A 17,954-nucleotide genomic window follows, 5' to 3' on the forward strand; every position below is an offset into this window, starting at 1 on the left:
AACAATATTGCCTGTGGACATGAAACACAAGCCAGTGCTGTTTATTTCAATATGTAAATAGGATTTGCTTTTTGTACAGTAAAAAAAATTAAACCCTGGGGTTATTGATATATTAATGTTATTTTTATTGTCAGTGAAATAAGATTTTACCATATTACTACTGACCGCCAAATCCCCTGAAGATGACTTTTCTGCAGGCAAAATAATGTCCTATTAGTGACCTAGATTTGCATTTTCTGGATTTCTGGAGGACGGTTGCCTTTAATGCCAAAGAACCAAGTGATTCTTTGCATTTCTTGAAAATACTAAGTGTTTCAAAGGCTAGCTTAGACTTCCGTGGATCACACTTAGTTAACGTCTCTTAGCCACTTTGCATTTAATATTTTGTTCATGTGAAAGAAACCCCAGAAGTAACTAGCTCATGTGCTTCAGCAAGGTGTCTCAATCTTCATGCTACTACCGTTCAGGACTCGATAATGTTTGTATAGGAGCTGTTCTATGCATTGTAGCATGTTTAGCAGCATCCCAGGCCTTTATCCACTAGATGCCGGTAGCTCCCCCCTCTCCTCCAGTTGCGATAACAAAAAATGTCTCCAGACATTGCCAAATGTCTGCTGGAGAGCAAAATCACCTGTGGCTTAGAACCACTGGGTTCAGTGTAAAAGAGGCACTTGGTATATACATAATGCTGTGAATCTTGGTGAAGAAGTAAACTTTTTTAACAGGAAAATAACTTGTTAAGCAACTCATTCCCATTTTCTGTAACAACATTTGCAAGGCATAATGCATAATGCATATATTACCAAATACAAAAAACATAAATTCATATGTTTAGAATTACCTTATTTTGTTATTCTGCCTAGAAAGTTCCCCAGTAGCATGACATCTCTGCTTGAAGTATGTATGTATGTATGTATGTATGTATGTATGTATGTATGTATTTATTTATTTATTTATTTATTTTTAATGTGATGCCTGTGTGAAAATGTTTTCAAACCCTGACCATGGCAGGGACTGAAAAAAAGCTAAGAGATTTGGAAACACATTCTGCAGTTCCCTCCTTGGAGTCTGGCCTTGTGTATTTTCTTTAGATAGGTACCTCTAAGCCTCAGATGCAACAGTAGCCTCTCCTGTCATGGTTTAAGCAGGGGTTTCCTGTAAATTCATCTGGTGTATGTTTGGACTTGAGAAGAGCTTATTTCAGAATACCAGAATTAGGAGATCAAGACGGTATGCCGATTCTGTTCTTCCCAGAACATTTTCAGTTCTAAATGACTCTCTGACTTGAGTGGCAGTATTGGAATTTGCTGGGAAGTATGAAATGTAATTCTTGTTTGATGGATAGGATTAGAGCAGATAGGACAAAAATGCATTAAATTTTCCCCCAAGGGTTCCTTTTGCTAGTATCCGTTTACTTGGCTGCTTTCTTTATGTTTCTGTTCTCTGTTTTCCCCATAGAATTTCCTGTAAACTTTGCCTGTCAATCCAATCTTTATTGCTTTCATTTTTAATACTCCAATTGGCGCATTTTACAAAGTCGACCAGCCACGCTAAAATGTAATGTGTGGTTTGCTTTGTCTGTATAAGAGGCTGAACCTGGATTTCTACCAGAAGTTAAACCACTGCATGGCATATGAGGAAGACTGTTTATTGAGTGGCCTTGGGTGCCTCACGTGTCATTATGAGCCCCAAATACTGTTCACTGCCTTACAAATAAGATCTGTCAAATATAAGACCTAGAAGGAATTTTCAAATGCAAACCTTGATTTTTCATAGAAAAGGACTGTCTTTTTTCTAGTTTCTAATGCCCCTGCATGCTTAGAAATTTGGTATATTATTTAAGCTTCCACTTAGCATTTAATATGTGATATTGGACCATCTTCTCTGGGCTCTCATTCCTCAGCTTCCTACCTCTTTCAGGGACCCTTCTCCTATGGTCCTGCCACCCTGGTATTGATCTTCCTGTATGGTAATCACTACTGAATTCCATAAGCTGCTCTGCATTTATTCATTCATTCATTCAACATAGAGTTATCAAGTATCTACTATCTCCCAGGCTCTGTTCTAGGCAACAATACTGATATACACTCAACCCCCTTGGAGCTGACATTCTAGAATGAGAAATGTCAATAAATACATTGTATTCGTCAGTTCAGGCTGCCATAACAAAGTGGCTTGATTGATTTGGTGGCTTAAACACAAAAATTTATCTTTCCTCAGTTCTGAATGGTAGAAATTCAAGATCAATGTAGCCGATTCTGGTAAAGGCTCTCTTCCCCTGATTGTAGATGGCTGCCATCTTTTTCATTTGTTTGTTTGTTTGTTTGTTTTTTGAGAAAAGGTCTCACTCTTGCCCAGGCTGGAGTGCAGTAGCACATTCATGGCTCACTGTAGCCTCAATCTCCTGGACTTAAATGATCTTCCCACTTCACCTCCCAAGTAGAAGGGAATACAGACATGCACCACCATGCCCAGCTAATTTTTGTATTTTTGTAGAGATGGGGTCTCACCATGTTGTTCAGACTGGTCTCAAACTCCTGGGGCTACCATCTTGTTATGTCCTTATATGGCCTTTCCTCAGTGTGTGCGTGTGAGAGAGCCTGAGTGAGCTGTCTGAAGTATCTTCTTAAAAGAACACTAATCCTATTTCATTAAGGCCCCACGCTTATGTCCTCATTTAACCCCAATTACTTCCTTAGACACCCCATCTCCAAAGACAACCACAGTAGGGGTTAGAGCTTCAGCAGGTAAATTTAGGGGGTCACAAACATTCAGTCCATAACATATAAAAATAATTTTTTAAATTACCACTTCAGATAGTGATAAGAGAACTATACAAATATATCAAGAGAAAAGGATAGAAAACAATTGGGACAGACATGGCAGTTGCTAATTTAGCTACAATCCTCTCTGAAAAAGGGACAGTTGAGTGAGACCAGAAATGAAGAAGAGACAGCCTTATTAAACTTTGGAGAAGTGAGCATTTTAGGTAGAGAGAATTTCAAGTTCAGTGTAGAGATGAGAGTGAGAATGATGAGATCAGGACAGAAGAAAGTCAGTTTGGTTCAATCCTAGTCAGCTATGGAGAAAGGGTTAAGAAAACAGTATCACAGAAGTAGGCAATAGCCTGATTGTGCTAGCCAGTGCAAAGAGTGAACATTTGTTCACATTGCAATGGAAAGCCTATGGAGAGCTTTAGGCTGATTAATACACAAATACAGTACAATTTAAGTGACTAAATAGAGAAACTCAAAGGGGTATTTTAGAGTGTTATTCGTCTTTGTTAGACAAAGTAAATGTTCAATAATTTTTTAAAATGGAAAGATGAATGTTTTCTTACATAGTAATTATCTTTTTTAAAAAAATCAGATTTATTAGATGTAATTTACATACAGTATATTCACTCTCTTTAGTGTACAGTTCTATGATTCTGACAAACACATACAATCATGTAACCACCACCACAATCAAGATGTAGAACAGGTATCTCCCCTCCTCAAATTCCCTCGTGCTCATTTGGAATCAACCCCTTCCTCCACCCCGCTATAGTTTTGCCTTTTCCCTAGTGTGATATAAATGAAATTATATAGTACATACCCTTTTGAGTCTGACGTCTTCCATTTAGCAAAATTTACTTGAGATTCATCATGTTGAATGTTTCAGTAGTTATTTTCTTTTTATTGCTAAGTTGTGTTCCATTGTATTGATGTGCCACAGTTTATTAATTCAGAGGAAGGACATTTGGGTTGTTTCCAGTTTGGGGCAAGCATGAATAAAGTCTGTATAAACATTTGGATTAAAGTTTTTCCATAAACAAAAGTTTTTATTTAATTTTGGTTAGTATGGAGCATTGCTGGGCCATAGGGAAAGTGTATGTTTAACTTTAAAAGAAACTGCAAAGCTGTTTTCCAAAATGGGTGTAATGTTTTGCTTTCCCACTAACATTGAATGAGAATTCCACTTTCTCTGCATCCTTGTCAGCTGTTAGTATTGTCTTTAAAAAAAAAAACAACTTTGTATTTTCTCTTTTTGTCATTATATCAGGTGTATAGTCAGTGGCTTCTTTTAAACGTCACAACTATAAATTTAAGGGTCTGGTGAGTATGGATAGTAAGAATGTAATGTATGATGGGATAATTTTTTTCATCCACACTATTTTTTTTTACCCAAAAGAGTATGATCTTATCAAATCATTGTTAAGAGTTAAAGTACATTTAAGACTATAATTTAAGTACATTTAAGACTATATTTTTGCTTGAAGACTTTTACAGAAAATAAGCTTAAAGAATTTATTCCTTGAATCCTGACAACCTTGAATTCTAGTCCTCCCATATTTAATGGGAGTCTCATGGGATGCTTTCTTAGAAAGACAACTCATGAAAATCTCTATTTAAAATATCACTGACCCCTGAGGTTGGATGAAGTCTTTGTCCCATAAATTCCAAGCTCAGTCATACTATTAAAAAAAAAACAAAACATAGTAATTGAGTTTTGCTAAAAATCCAATAAAGCAAAAGAATTATACCATTATTTCTCACATGCATTTTTCCAACCTATCCTCACATCGCTGACATACTCCATCTCAGGCAACCTGGTTTTGTCTGTTCTGTGGCTCGCCACTCTAACCTTTTGCTTACCAGTAAGACATAGGGGAAACACAATTTAAATTCTGCTGAAGGATTTGAGCATTCAGTAACTCATCGACTCTACAGTATAGTCTGAGCAGAAATGGACATTTCACTGATTTTCACATCCAGAAGCTACCCTTTAATAGATCTCCAGGAGAATCATCCCTCCTCTGATTTGTGAATTCCTGATCTTGTAGCATTCTACAGTTGTTCAATGAGAGGCTCTGGAGGACTAGAAAATTCAGTGCTTTTTACAGAGTCTATAGGAGCCTATCACATAGGTTCAGTGTCTCTGCCAGTGCCTTGACTTAATCCAGAAAACATTCCCATTCCAACCTCGATACAAATTGTCCTGTTGCTTCTCTTTTCATGGAGAAAGTATTTTCTGCATGAGGGCATGGACCTATGCCTAACACAAAATATCCATAACTTTCTAGGAACTGGTCTTTATTTCCTGACAGAAGACATAGATGCAATTCCTGTATTTGTAACATCAGTCACTTTTGTAAAGCTTGGTGCTTTCATTTTGTCTTTCTTTCAAAGCCTTTTAAACAACACTCATGGCTTTTCTCCTCCTGCTAGTGGGAGGCAGTATTAAACTTATCTGGCATAAGAAAGATTTTGTGCAGCTAATTTTATCAGATGACTCCAAGTCATTTCATTCGGAGCTACTTATTTCTCTTAGTGGAATCAAATAATGTAAATCTCCTAGACGTTCTTGTTAATGGTTGGTGGAAAAACGTGCGGGTGGAAATATGTCTTTCCCATAGGTACTTGATAGCATTTGATTAGAGGCCAGGCATGTAGCAGCTTCGTGAATCTTCCTTTTTGTTTTCTGTTTGCAGATTTTATTCTTCACCGTACAGTATTGCAACCAACCGCATGATTCCACAGACATCTATCACGCCATTCATTGCTGCTTCCCCTGTCTCCACATACCAGGTATGTCCAATTTACCTGCACCTTAGGAGATATCTTTCTTGCAGTAATACAGTATTTAGAGGCAAAAAGGACACAGTAGAATGAAAAGAAAAAAATTCTCATACACTTTAATCACATCTTAATGTAATAATACTCAAGTTATGAGTTAGCCTATACTTTCAAGAGCCTGTTTGCATCAATTCACTGGATAATAAAATCCACTATGCTTTTCATTCTTCCTGCTGAGTTTTCATGATTATGCTACTGTCCAACCAACCTTAATACAGCTCTCTCACCACTGGGAAATTATTTTGTTTGTTGTCTGTTACTTTGTTTGTTCATGTTCCCTATTGTGTCTTTTCTAAAAGCACATTTCTAGCAATTCCTTCACTCACTCCAGGATATTTTATCACTGTCATCTCATTTTGTCATGGTTGTCCTGGTAAAGCTACACAGATAGATGTTAAATCATACTTCCCAAGAAACAGAAGAAATTATCAAAGTGGTAAAAAGTTGTTCGTATTCCCTGCTCTTATTTCATTCTCAGTTCCAGAGAGACCAAAAGAGACCTCAGGGGTTCCGCATGTTGGAATGCTGGAAAGTCTGAGACTCAATGTGTGTCCTCAACTAGATATTATAGCCAGTTAATTCCAAGTACATAGGTCGATTAAAATAGTCACACTTCTCCCTCAAACAATACTCCTTGTTTTATTCCTCTGAGTTATTACGTATGTGATATTAATCTCCTCTCTACCTAATATTGTTCTTCAAACAGTTCTTCCAATTCTAATTAGAAAACGCCTATATATATGCTGCACGTAGAAAGTGTCTAGTGTCATTTCTTAAAAGTTTGGAGGGAGAAAGAGAAAGAGAGAATGCAAGCGTGTGTATGCATGTGCTTCTTGAATTTTGCAGCTGGTGGGGGTGGATGTTATATAATGAGTAAAACTGTAATGATACTGATACTATTAATTCAGTGAAGTTTTGCCTTGTTCAGTCACTATATACTTCATTTCAGGATATCCCAGCTGTCAGAGAATCAAACTTAAGACTATGTGCACTTTTCCTTAACTGATTCCCCCCAAAGCAGATCATTTTCTTTCTTTTTCTGCACTCAGATTCTTGAAACATATCCGTGGGCAAATGGAATAGATTTTCATTTGAATTACATTAGAGGGTCTCTGAATGGCTGATTTCTTAATTGCCTTTCCTTGGCATGAGGCTATGTGCAGGTTCTGTTCAGTTTTTGTTCTTCCTGCAGGCCTGCCTGGTTGTAATGTGCGTGTGTGTGTGTGTGTGTGTGTGTGTGTGTGTTTCCTTTTTTTTTCTAATCTTGGCCTCTGTTCCAGCCAAGACCACCCATTAAGCCACAGTGTAGAGCACTTTGGTGACATGAATAAAATATTCACTGAAGAGTGATTTTACTTGGGAGGGCTCATAAGTGGAATTTAACTCTAGCTCCCTTTTCTCAAAAGAAGAGATTACAGCAATGATCGATGTTGTTGATTCTCACCTTTCACCAGGTTTTTTCAATCCAAAGTGTTTTGGCAATTCTGTGTGTGTGAGTATATAAAAAAAATCTTCTGAGTTCTCCACGTGACATTCAGCTTATACAGGCTGACTTTTTCATTTGTCTGACACATGGTACATTTAAGAATAGTTGGCTGGCTGACATACTCATTTTTATGTGTTATACCAATTACCATGAGCGAAAATAATTACAAACTTGCTTAACTTGGGTTAAACCTAAATAACTGCCCCAAATTTTTGGTTTATCTCTTTAGCTCTTACCACAACTTTTACCACTTGGACATATTTCTAAAATGGGATCACTTGAGCATTTGAAGTTACAACTGATGACAGAAAAAGAGAAAGTCTTAGCAGTCAACTCTTGCTTCCTTCATTACTTGCCAGGACATCCCTGAAAGCTGATCTTCAAATGGTCTCTGAGGCCTCCTAAAACTTTAGCGTTCAACATCAACCTCAAAATATGCTCCAAGACCCAGCCTGGGCCATGTGGGCACTGAAGTCAGCTCCACTGATAGGGGAAGTTGCTTTACCTTTTACCTTGTTTCAGGGACCAATTTAATCAAGTCCAAGAATTCCCTTTTTACCCTTGGTTTTGAGCACGAATTAACTGTAAAGTCAGGTGGACTCCACTTTCTTATGACCTAGTGTGACTCCACTGAACACAAGAACCAAGTTCTCTCTATGATTGCTTTGTGCTAATAAATGCTGTTTGATGCATAGGTCCAGAGTACTTCATGGATGCCTCATCCGCCATACGTTATGCAACCAACAGTAAGTGTTCTCAGTCACCTGAGGCTAATATTTCTATTATCCAAGTACAAGCTTTTGGAATGCATAGAAGCTTTGGGGTAAAGCTTTTGTTATAATATGTAACTCGTTCAGGCAGCCATATTCTCCAGATAAAAAGCTGTTCCTGAAATTCTACAAAAGCATGTACAATAGATAGCTAGAGATCAACATAGACATAGAATCAGATAAAGAGAGAGGGTGAAAAAGCAAGAGAGTGAGAGAGAGAGAGAGAGTGCCTGGAAACTTTATTAGAAGAAATAGCAATCAACCATTCAAGCTGAGTCTACCATTTCTTATGCATGAGGAATTTCTGCTTTATGCAGGAACTCAGAACTCCGGACAATTAAATTTATTCTACAAGGAAACTCTTTGTTTCCCTTCTCTTTCTGATATGCTTTTCTTTCTTTGGCCACAGTCTGATATGCCTTAGGGACAATTTGGAGTATCATAGACAAGTTTTGACTTGAAGCAATATATTTCAAATATGAAGGTAGTTGTCTGCTAATAGATGAATTTATATAGATAGATGGCAAGGTGTGTAAATATTTTCATGTTAATTAACTATAGCAGTTTTCTTTTTCTATAGTGGAAATTTTCTCTCTGCAAAATATTCAAATTCTCTTTTTTACTTGCTAGATTTCCCATTTTATGGCACAATATTACATCAATTCCAAGTGAAAAGTATGACGTATTACATTAGAATCTAGACTGAAGGCTAATGATTGCATTTATCTTTGCCTAAGTCTTCCAGGGTTTCTAGCTCTATAGAAGTGCGAGATAGAGATTTCAATAGCAACACACTCATGAGGGTGTGAGGCAGGGGAAAGAGCCCTAGACTGGAAGTTGTGTGACAAGGTCTCTGGTGACTCTTCTGGGTATGCTCTCTGTGCATTTGTTTCCTTTTCTGACACTATATACTTAATAGTGCTTTTGTGAGGATCAAATGAGAGATCACATGTAAAAGACAATGTAAAAAAGTATACATGCTATGCATTATTATTATCATTGTCCTCATTATTATTGAATGTGTTCATTATACAAGGAAGAAGCAGTGCTAAATTTTAACCCCTTTAGAAGATAAATGTAAGTAAGTTAGTATACATTAAACACCAGGGAGCTAAATACGCAGACATCCATTTCCTGAACTCAGAAAATTAGAGAATCTGGCTTTCATATCTGAGCAGGGTCCATTTTATTTTTTTAAATAAGGAACTTTTCATGTTGCTCCAAACATTTTGATAGTTTTTTATTTAAAGAATAAAATATATGTAGTTTACCACAGCAGAACTTTGTACCATATTTTGCAAATCCCTTTATTTACTATTATTTACACACCTTGAGGGCTTTCTGAGTTCATCTAGTCTATGTTCTATAAATCATACCACTATGCAACAAATCCAGGCTACACTTTTCTGTCCAAGTCATAAGGTAAAATTCAGTTTGTGCTGCCAAAGCAATACATAGCATAGCAAAGACTGAGCCAACGGAGGAAAAGGAAAGAAGTCCTGCCAAGTTCTCAAAAGGAGACTTTCTGGAAGGAAACAACCACCTTCTAAAAAATGTGTTCATCCGTAAAGCACTAATACTAACTTAGTCCTCATACTGAGTTTTAACACCATCTCTTTGTGGCCAAAAGGAGTGCACATCTGGCAAAATCTGAATATTTTACCAGATGTCAAACTATGTAAGATTCTTCAGTACTTCCAGATCTATTAGGGGCAGGGAAGATGGTTGTATGGGACTTTATTTCAGCTGTCACTCAGGACTTTTACAAAGCTTTTCACACACCTCCTTTTCCACCCCAGTACAGCTTCAGCCTCGTGTTCGCATGTATTATTTCTGTGTGTGTATTATTAGTGTGTGTGTACATGTGTGTGTGTACTTTAATTTGTCCTTTTAGATTTTCCTTGCTGTGGCTACTACTCAGAGCTGATATCGTATCACCTCCCATGACTAAATTATGCATCGTGCTTGAGCTTAGGCCACTAGGTTTAAATGTAATGTTTATGGCTGGGGTGGATTCCTGGAAAAATAGAAGTGGCTGGGCCACACACCACTTTGCTATCTTTTAGATGGAGAAAAGGGCAAAACAGTATCATGGAAACACAGAGTTTGTACCATCAATCATTTCCCTGTAATAATCTTGTTGGCTGTCCATATTACATAAGTAACTTTACCCAACTGGCTTTAATTTTATCATCAAAGTGAGGTTAAGTCACCCTATGATACTAAAATATAAAAATATTCAAGCCATCTTAGACAACAAATCAAAAAACCTGAATCTGAGAAGAATTAATGAGGAACTTGATGATTAACAACATGGATTCTTGGTTGAGCTCATTAGGACAGGAAACCCATTTTAGCAAGGGGGTATTGAGCTATTTACATAAACTTTCTGAGCCACAGTTTCTCATCTGTAACATGGACATAATAATACCCAAATAATTATGTTTTGTTCATTAAATGAAATAAGGCATTAAAGCTCTTAAAATAATTTCTGGAAAAGAGCACTCAATAAATTATTATTATTTAATTATATTAGTAGACTTCTCATTATGCTTTAAATTATCCCAGTTTTATCAAATGAGTGTTGTTATAAGCAGAAAGTTGAAAGTAAGCAACTTTGTTGAGAATCATCTATTTCTACCACATTCATAGTGCTAATTACCTTACTTTGCTAATGAGTTTGGTGGAGAAACTCTGTGGCTATAAACAAGACAAATTGCTTACATTGGTACTTATTTCACTTACTTTCTAAACATTCAACACCTAAAACTTAAAAAAAAATGCCCATTGAGAATCTCCTTTTTTCAGTAACTGGAGACTACCTTACAAATAAATTCAAGGTGTCAAAATCTATGTCTCAAATATATTGCCCATAATTCCAATTTGCTTGCAACTTTTCTTCTCTGTCACATTTTCTCTTTCCTCACTTTATGATAATTTCATGCATGAGGTTTCATTGTACAGGAATATACCTCCCCTATCACCAAGCGTGTACACTGATTCCTGAGTTGGAGCCAGATGTATTGCCTAGGCTAGAAGCCCTTCGGGTTCTCTCTCAGGCTTGACTTAAAGGGCTCTAATGTCTCAATCTGGTTTGTATCTGAAAACAGTGCTTCCGTAAAGTTCTAAAGTAGAGCGCAATGACCTTGATCTCTTTGCTAAGGAGGATGAATGGGTAAACTGGAGGGGCAACAACTGGTAAGAGAGAAATGAAATGGCACAGAGAACTAAAGGGAACAGTAAAGGCATGAAAGAAGAATAGAAAACATAAGCATATAATTTCTAAAGTTTGCCATTTAAGTTTGTTTCTTTGTACATTTAATTTTCTAAGTAATGTGCTTGTAGATTTAGAAAAAAAATACTCTGGGAAGAAAGGATAGATGTCTCTTTGCATGGATTATAATTCTGATGTTTTGGAAAGAAAAGAGATTTCTGTTACTGGACCCTGGGAACTTATTGGATCTCCTGGAAAGCTGTCAAACCCCACGTAGAGAATCAAGAGCATTTCTGTTTGCCTTTTGTTATTGTTCACCTGAATAGACTCTGAGAAGACAGCACTGTTAGACTAAATTAGGAATTCCCTTTTTTCTGAGAAGTAAAAATGCTGACTTTGTCAATGTAGTTGGTTATTTGCTTCTGCTTCTCAGCACAGACGTCTATACTGCATGCTGAAATCTCACCATTGCACTAACAGAATTTTAATAGTTGATGGATTGCACCAAATACCTACTCTACAGAGCAGTATGTTACATTGCAATGTCATATGAATACACAGTTGAAATTGCTGTGTTCCAATACATTGGATATTTTGTTACATCTGTTATTACTGACAAGGAGAAAAGATGATAATTTTCAAGAGGAAGCAGAGTTCCACTTTCTTAAACTTTATTTAAGCTCATTTGAAGCATAAATCTTCTGTTCTTGATATGGGTAGTGTTATATCATCTCAAGGAGAAAGGTCAGCTTTCATTTTGACTTAATTACAAATTGGTTATCTAATTACAGTATTCTAAGAAATGCAAGATGCCCTTATTGAATCAATACATGATTTGTTGCCATGGCAACAAATGGCAAAAAAGTTGCAAGCAAATAAAAAATTATAATCGTTATGATTAATGAACCCTGAGTTTTCAGCTAAAGAGAAAATATAAACTTCTTCTTTACAACCAGGCTGTTTAAGAAGCCCCAGAATACTTAATTTGGTCATTCTTTGCCCTTAAACATGTAAGGCCTAAGGCCTAGTTTTAGAGTTGTGTCCTTCAATTTTGTAGGTGTGTGTTTTGAGAAGGCATTATCACCAAATTTGCCCTAATTACTGTAGAAAATAGTCCTGGCTTTGCTACCGTTAAATATAACTTCAAAATTTTACGGTAATTTTTCAAATATAATCTCAGCAACTTTAGTAAAATAACTTTAAACAATGAAATGCAAGGCTTATAATTCAAAAGAAGTGTATAGAGTATAAAAGATTTTCCACCTAGGATCCCTTCATTCATCATTTCTATTCTCCGGAAATACACATTGTAAACAAAATCAGATATTTCTATCCAGTCAATTTTATATGCATATGAAATTATATATTTGCATGTGTGTAAATGTGTATTTTTAATATAGAAACAATATTACTCTACAAATGTTGTATTATGATTTGCTTTATTTTTCCTCAATAATAAAATGTTCTGGATGTCAATAAATATGAGCCATATATAGATCTATATCAATTTTGCTAACAGCTCCATTGTCACTACTGTATAAATGCACCAAAAGGTGTACTTTCTTGAAAACTCAAGACAGTAATATTACACCCTAGTGAGAAAACGTCTGTCAGATAAGTTGCTGACACAAAAGATATTTACATTTTAAAATTTGATATACATTATTTTCAAATTGCCTTTTAGATAGCAGTTTTTCTTTCTCCATAACCTCAATTAAAAGCAGGTAATCTCAAGTTTTAAATATTTTGTTAATGTGGTAAATGTCTCACTCATATTTTATTTTCATTTCTGAATCCTATGAGTTGAGTTGATTTTCACGTGTTTATTGACTAATTTTGTTTTCTTTATCTCTGAACTTCAAGTTGGTTTGCTTTGCTTAGTTTTCTTTTGAGGTACTGATCTTTTCTTATTTATAAAAGATCTTATTACAGTTAGTAAGTTTATAGTGTCATAGATAATTTAAATATTATCTCAGTTGACTTTAAATTTTAATTGTATATTTGTCATGCAGATTTTTGGTATTTATGTATTCAAATGTATCAGTCTTTCTTTTAGAACAAGGGTCAGCAAACTTTTTCCGTAAAAAGCCAAACAGTAAATATTTTCTGTTTTGTGAGCTATATGGTCTGTGTCACACCTACTCAATTCTATGGTTTATTGTGAAAGCATCCATAGACAATACATAATGAATGGGTGTGCCTTGAGTTCCAATAAAACTATATTTACAGAAATAGGTATGGCCACATTTGACTCACAGCCTATATTTTGACAACCCCAGCTTTAGAGCATCTGTATTCCATGCAAAATACCTTAATCACTATAGATTTAAAATGCCATATGTTTTCTTACTATGCTTATAGTAAATTTTGTTTAAAAATGTTGTTACCTTTGAAGTTTATTTTATAGCATGAGATGAGATTAAGATTCAAAATTTCATTTTTTTGATTTTTTTTCCCCCAAACATGGAACCAATTGCCATAACAAATTTTACCAAAGAAACCCTCTATATTTCGTCCTCTGGCATAAATTTTATGCCAATATTTATCACATAATAAAATCTTTTTATCTTTGTATCTGTTTTCCAAATGCTCTTCTGTCCTGCTTCTCTATTTCCTTTGAGCATTGCTCTATTTTGACTACTATAACTGACAATACCTTAATCAGAGGTGTCCAATATTTTGGCTTCCCTGGGCCACATTGGAAGAAAAATTGTCTTAGGCCACACATAACATACACTAAAACTAATGATAGCTGATGAGCTAAAATAAATAAATAAGTCTTATAATATTTTAAGAAAGATCGTGAATTTGTGTGGGGTCACATTCAAAGCCGTTGTGGGCTGCATGCAGCCAGTGGGCCACATGTTGGGGAAACTTGCCTTATAAACTGATAGGAAATGTCCACAATATTTTTTTCATTGTTTCTCAAAAATTTTTCTAGCTATTTTACATTTTCAGATGAACTTTAATGCATTTTATGAAGTTAAAAATGTACTAAAATTTCAAATTATATATTGACTTATGGGAAATTTAAGAATATGACATATTTACAACATTGAATTTTTCTATACAAGAAAAAGAACTTTTCGTCTACCCAAGAATTCTTTTATGTATTTTGGATCACTTAATAGAGTATCAGGTTTCCGCCATATGTATTCTATACATTGCTTAATGTTTTCCTGGCATCTTAGTATTTTTGTTATTATATGTTTTAGTTTTTTGCTGTGGCTATAACAAAGTAGCACAGACTGTGTAATTTATAAAGAAAATAAGTCTATATAGCTCACAATTCTGGAGGATGGAAAGTCCAAGAGCTTGATACAGGCAGCTGGTGAGGGCCATCTTGTTATGTCATAACATGGCAGAAGACATCACCTGGCAAGAAGGCAAAAACAAGAGAGCCAGAGAGAGCTTCCTTTTCTAACAAAGCTATTCCCACAAATCTAATTCCATGGCAACATTAATCCATTCATGAGGACACAGCTGACATTAATCCATTCATGAGGACACAACACTTATTTCTAATGTGTAAGTTTTGTAACACATGAAATAAATATTCTTCGGCATTGCAATTATAAAAATTTTATTATATTTTCTCATTGATCACTTTGGTGTATAAAAATGTATATACTAATTTTATTCATTTAATTTTAAAAATCTATTAATTGTTCAAAAGTATTGCTGAAATTTAGAATATATACATAAGTTAAAATATGCATATAAAATACCCATTTCCTCTTACCCAAAGATTAGTACAGTTAATATCTAATGTTACATGTTTCCAGATGTTTTTCTGTATTTATATCAATATCTACCAACTTATCTACATCTACAAACATGCATGCATACAATATACCCATTATATATATCATATGTATGTGTATATACCATTTACCAAAATGATATCAGTCAAATGACATCACACAATATGTGCTATTTTCAGTGAATATTTTCCATTTTTCCCAGTTGAGAAATTTTTTATCATCTCTCATCAAATTTTCCCAATTGAGCAAAAATGTTATTTACACTGGTTTACCCAATCCAGGAAGCAATCAGTGACCACATATTATATTTGGTTATTGGGTCATTTAAGGCTCTTTTAATCTGGCAGTCTTTTTTCCCTTCCTGTTCATGGTTAGCTGTCCTGCCATGTATCCCACTCTTGCAAAATGTTTGGTTGATTCTTCATGATGCTGTTTAGCCTTTTCTTCTATCTCATATATGAAACAATTTTTGTAACCAGCTATCTTTCTGAATTCCCTCATTGTTTTCAATCGAATATTTAATTCATTCTCAGCTTTTCCAGGTCATCAAAAATAATATAATTTTCCACCTGATTTTAAATCTTTATATTTCATAATTCATTTTCTGGCCAAATGGCTTTGGAATGTATCCTTTGACTTATTTCTTATCATAATGGATATGCCACTATGAATTATTTTTTAATTTAGGTGTAGATGTTGAACTTAATCAAAGTTTTTTTGAAACTATTGATATTATTTTCCTTTTGCCAATTTTATTGTATTAATATATTTGTAATTAATTGTATCATAATTTTTAATATTTTCCTAAGGTAGAATCATTCTGCCATCAACTCCATTTGGTTATGATATATCCCTGTTAAAAATATACTTCCGGATTATACTTGTGAATAGTTTATTATCTTGGCATCAGTTTTTATTAATAAAATTAGTAAGCTATTTTTGTCAGGTTTGAATATTCAATTAACAAAGGCTTTATAAAGTTAATTTGGAATAATTCCTTTTTCTCTAATTGCAGAAACAATTTTAAATAGCATTAAAAAAATCTCTTTTTGGAGATTATAAAATCTTCATACCCAAGACTATCTTAGTTTTGGGGAAGAGATGCATTTATTTTACCAAATCCAGTTTAAAAAATAATCTATTACTCCAGTCAGACATGTTCTCAGGAGGCTAAAACTTTATAATCTATTTAAGAATTTGTTAAGGTTGGCCCGGTGTGGTGACTCAAGCCTGTAACCCCAGCACTTGGAGAGGCCAAGGCAGGCAGATTGCTTGAACTCGGGAGTTTGAGACCAGCCTGGGGCAACATGGCAAAACCTTGTCCCTACAAAAAATACAAAAAAATTAGCCAGGCATGGTGGTGCATGCCTATAGTCCCAGCTACTTGGGAAGCTGAGGTGGGAGGATTGTTTGAGGATAGAAGCTCAAGGCTACAGTAAGCCAAGATCACACCACTGTACTCCAGCCTGAGCAACAAAACAAGACCTTGTCTCAAAAAAAAAAACAAACAAACAGAATTTGTTAATACCATGTATGATCATGATCATGAAGAACTCTGACTGTTGCATAGTTGATAGTCATGTTGCTGAATGATCAAATCAATTGGATTGTGAAATGCCACGGTCTTAACAAAATTAGCATTATCTTTTGCTCCATGACTAGTTGTTGATAATTAGATCATAGGCCATATAGTTCTTAAGTTAAATGTAGTACAAAGTAAAAATAATCAGTTGCCAACTGCCTAATAAGGAATTTTTAGGTATGAGCAAGTTGTAAATCAATAATTTGTAATTTTTAAGAATGTATAGAGTTTTTAATGCCCTTGATTGTCATAAAACTTGAGGAATATTTTCCTCACATGCTCGCTTGATTCAGTCTTTCTTTCCCTTAGCCCTTAGCTATACCAATCATTGACTCCTCGTCTTATAACATTGAGAAACTTGGGTTCAATGAAAAAAATCAACAAATAATAAAAACAAATATTCTTGAGCATCAAATATGTGCATGATATTTTTCTAGATATTATTGGAAATGGAGGAGAGAAAATAAGAAATAATTTGTCCTCAAGACTTGAAATATAATTGTAGAAAAACATTATATGCTCAGGATAATTTAATTGAAAAGGTACAGTTGAAAATTTGTCAAAATTTTAGTAATTATATAACCTAAAAAATAAAGAAGCCTCTGTGAACAGTTAAGGACAGAGAAGAACAATGACATAAAGATGACCTTAAAGGATGGGTGATGTTTGTGGGGCTAAAATGAAAAAAGAGAACATTTTAAGTGAAAATAATACACAAAAAGTATGGGAGGAGAGTCTCAAGTTATTTCAAAGGGGACTACGGGGGGAGCAAATAGCCTGCCTTAAGTGAAATGTTTATATTAGAGAACGAGGGAAATATTTGGTTGGAAAGTTAAATTGCTACGTATTGAAGTACAACTTTCACGCAGTCAAATCTGGCAGACTTTCCTACACATTTTTTATTAGCTTGACAATCCCAGTACTATTGTTCAGAATTTAAGTTTACTTTGAAAAATGTAAAACAGAAAGAGTAAGTTATGTCACTGATGTGTGCGTAAAAGTAATAATATGCAGTGGAGTAATGTATGAATCAATTATAAATAGAAAAAAATAAATTCTGCTACATTATGAAATGCCATTGTGCAAAGTCTTTGTATATAAAGTCATTTTATATTCCTAAATAATTTTGGAGGTAATGTTTATCTTCCAAGTAGAGTTCCTGAAGGCTTCCTGCTGTCTGAGATCCCTGCCTCCTAAGCACAGGAGTGTCTAGGGGCAGTGGTGAGTCTAGAATCTTTTGAAATACAAAAAATATGCTTTAATACATTTTTTAAATTCTCAGATAATGGTGGTTGGAAGCTGCCAAGTGCTAGGCACCAACACATCTCCAGAGTACATAGGGATGCATCTATTAATAGATGGCCACTGTTTCTATACCCAGTAACGTAAAAATTGTCCCAACTGAAGTATTCTAGCTCTGTTACTGTGGGAGTATGCGGGGCATGTGTGTGGTATGTGTGCATGTGGCCTACCTTTCTGCATGTGGTTTTCTGTTATTTTACTAACAACCTTTAAAATGA

General features: G+C 35.0%; 1 protein-coding gene across 15 annotated transcripts in view; it reads left to right on the plus strand.

Annotated features, from left to right (window-relative positions):
* The window catches only part of RBMS3 (RNA binding motif single stranded interacting protein 3), a 729,325-nt gene that overhangs the window by 610,835 nt on the left and 100,536 nt on the right, over positions 1–17,954 (plus strand). For 10 of the 15 annotated variants that reach the window (XM_017006179.2, NM_001003793.3, NM_001177711.2 and 7 more), the window contains 2 exons: positions 5,474–5,570; positions 7,800–7,850. In XM_017006179.2, coding sequence (XP_016861668.1) covers positions 5,474–5,570; positions 7,800–7,850 — 148 coding nt within the window. The remainder of the gene's footprint in view (positions 1–5,473; positions 5,571–7,799; positions 7,851–17,954) is intronic. The other 5 variants (XM_005265061.3, XM_017006180.2, XM_017006181.2 and 2 more) reach the window with 1 other exon arrangement.

The sequence above is a fragment of the Homo sapiens genome, chromosome 3 (assembly GCF_000001405.40).
Source record: "Homo sapiens chromosome 3, GRCh38.p14 Primary Assembly".
Lineage (NCBI taxonomy): Eukaryota > Metazoa > Chordata > Mammalia > Primates > Hominidae > Homo > Homo sapiens.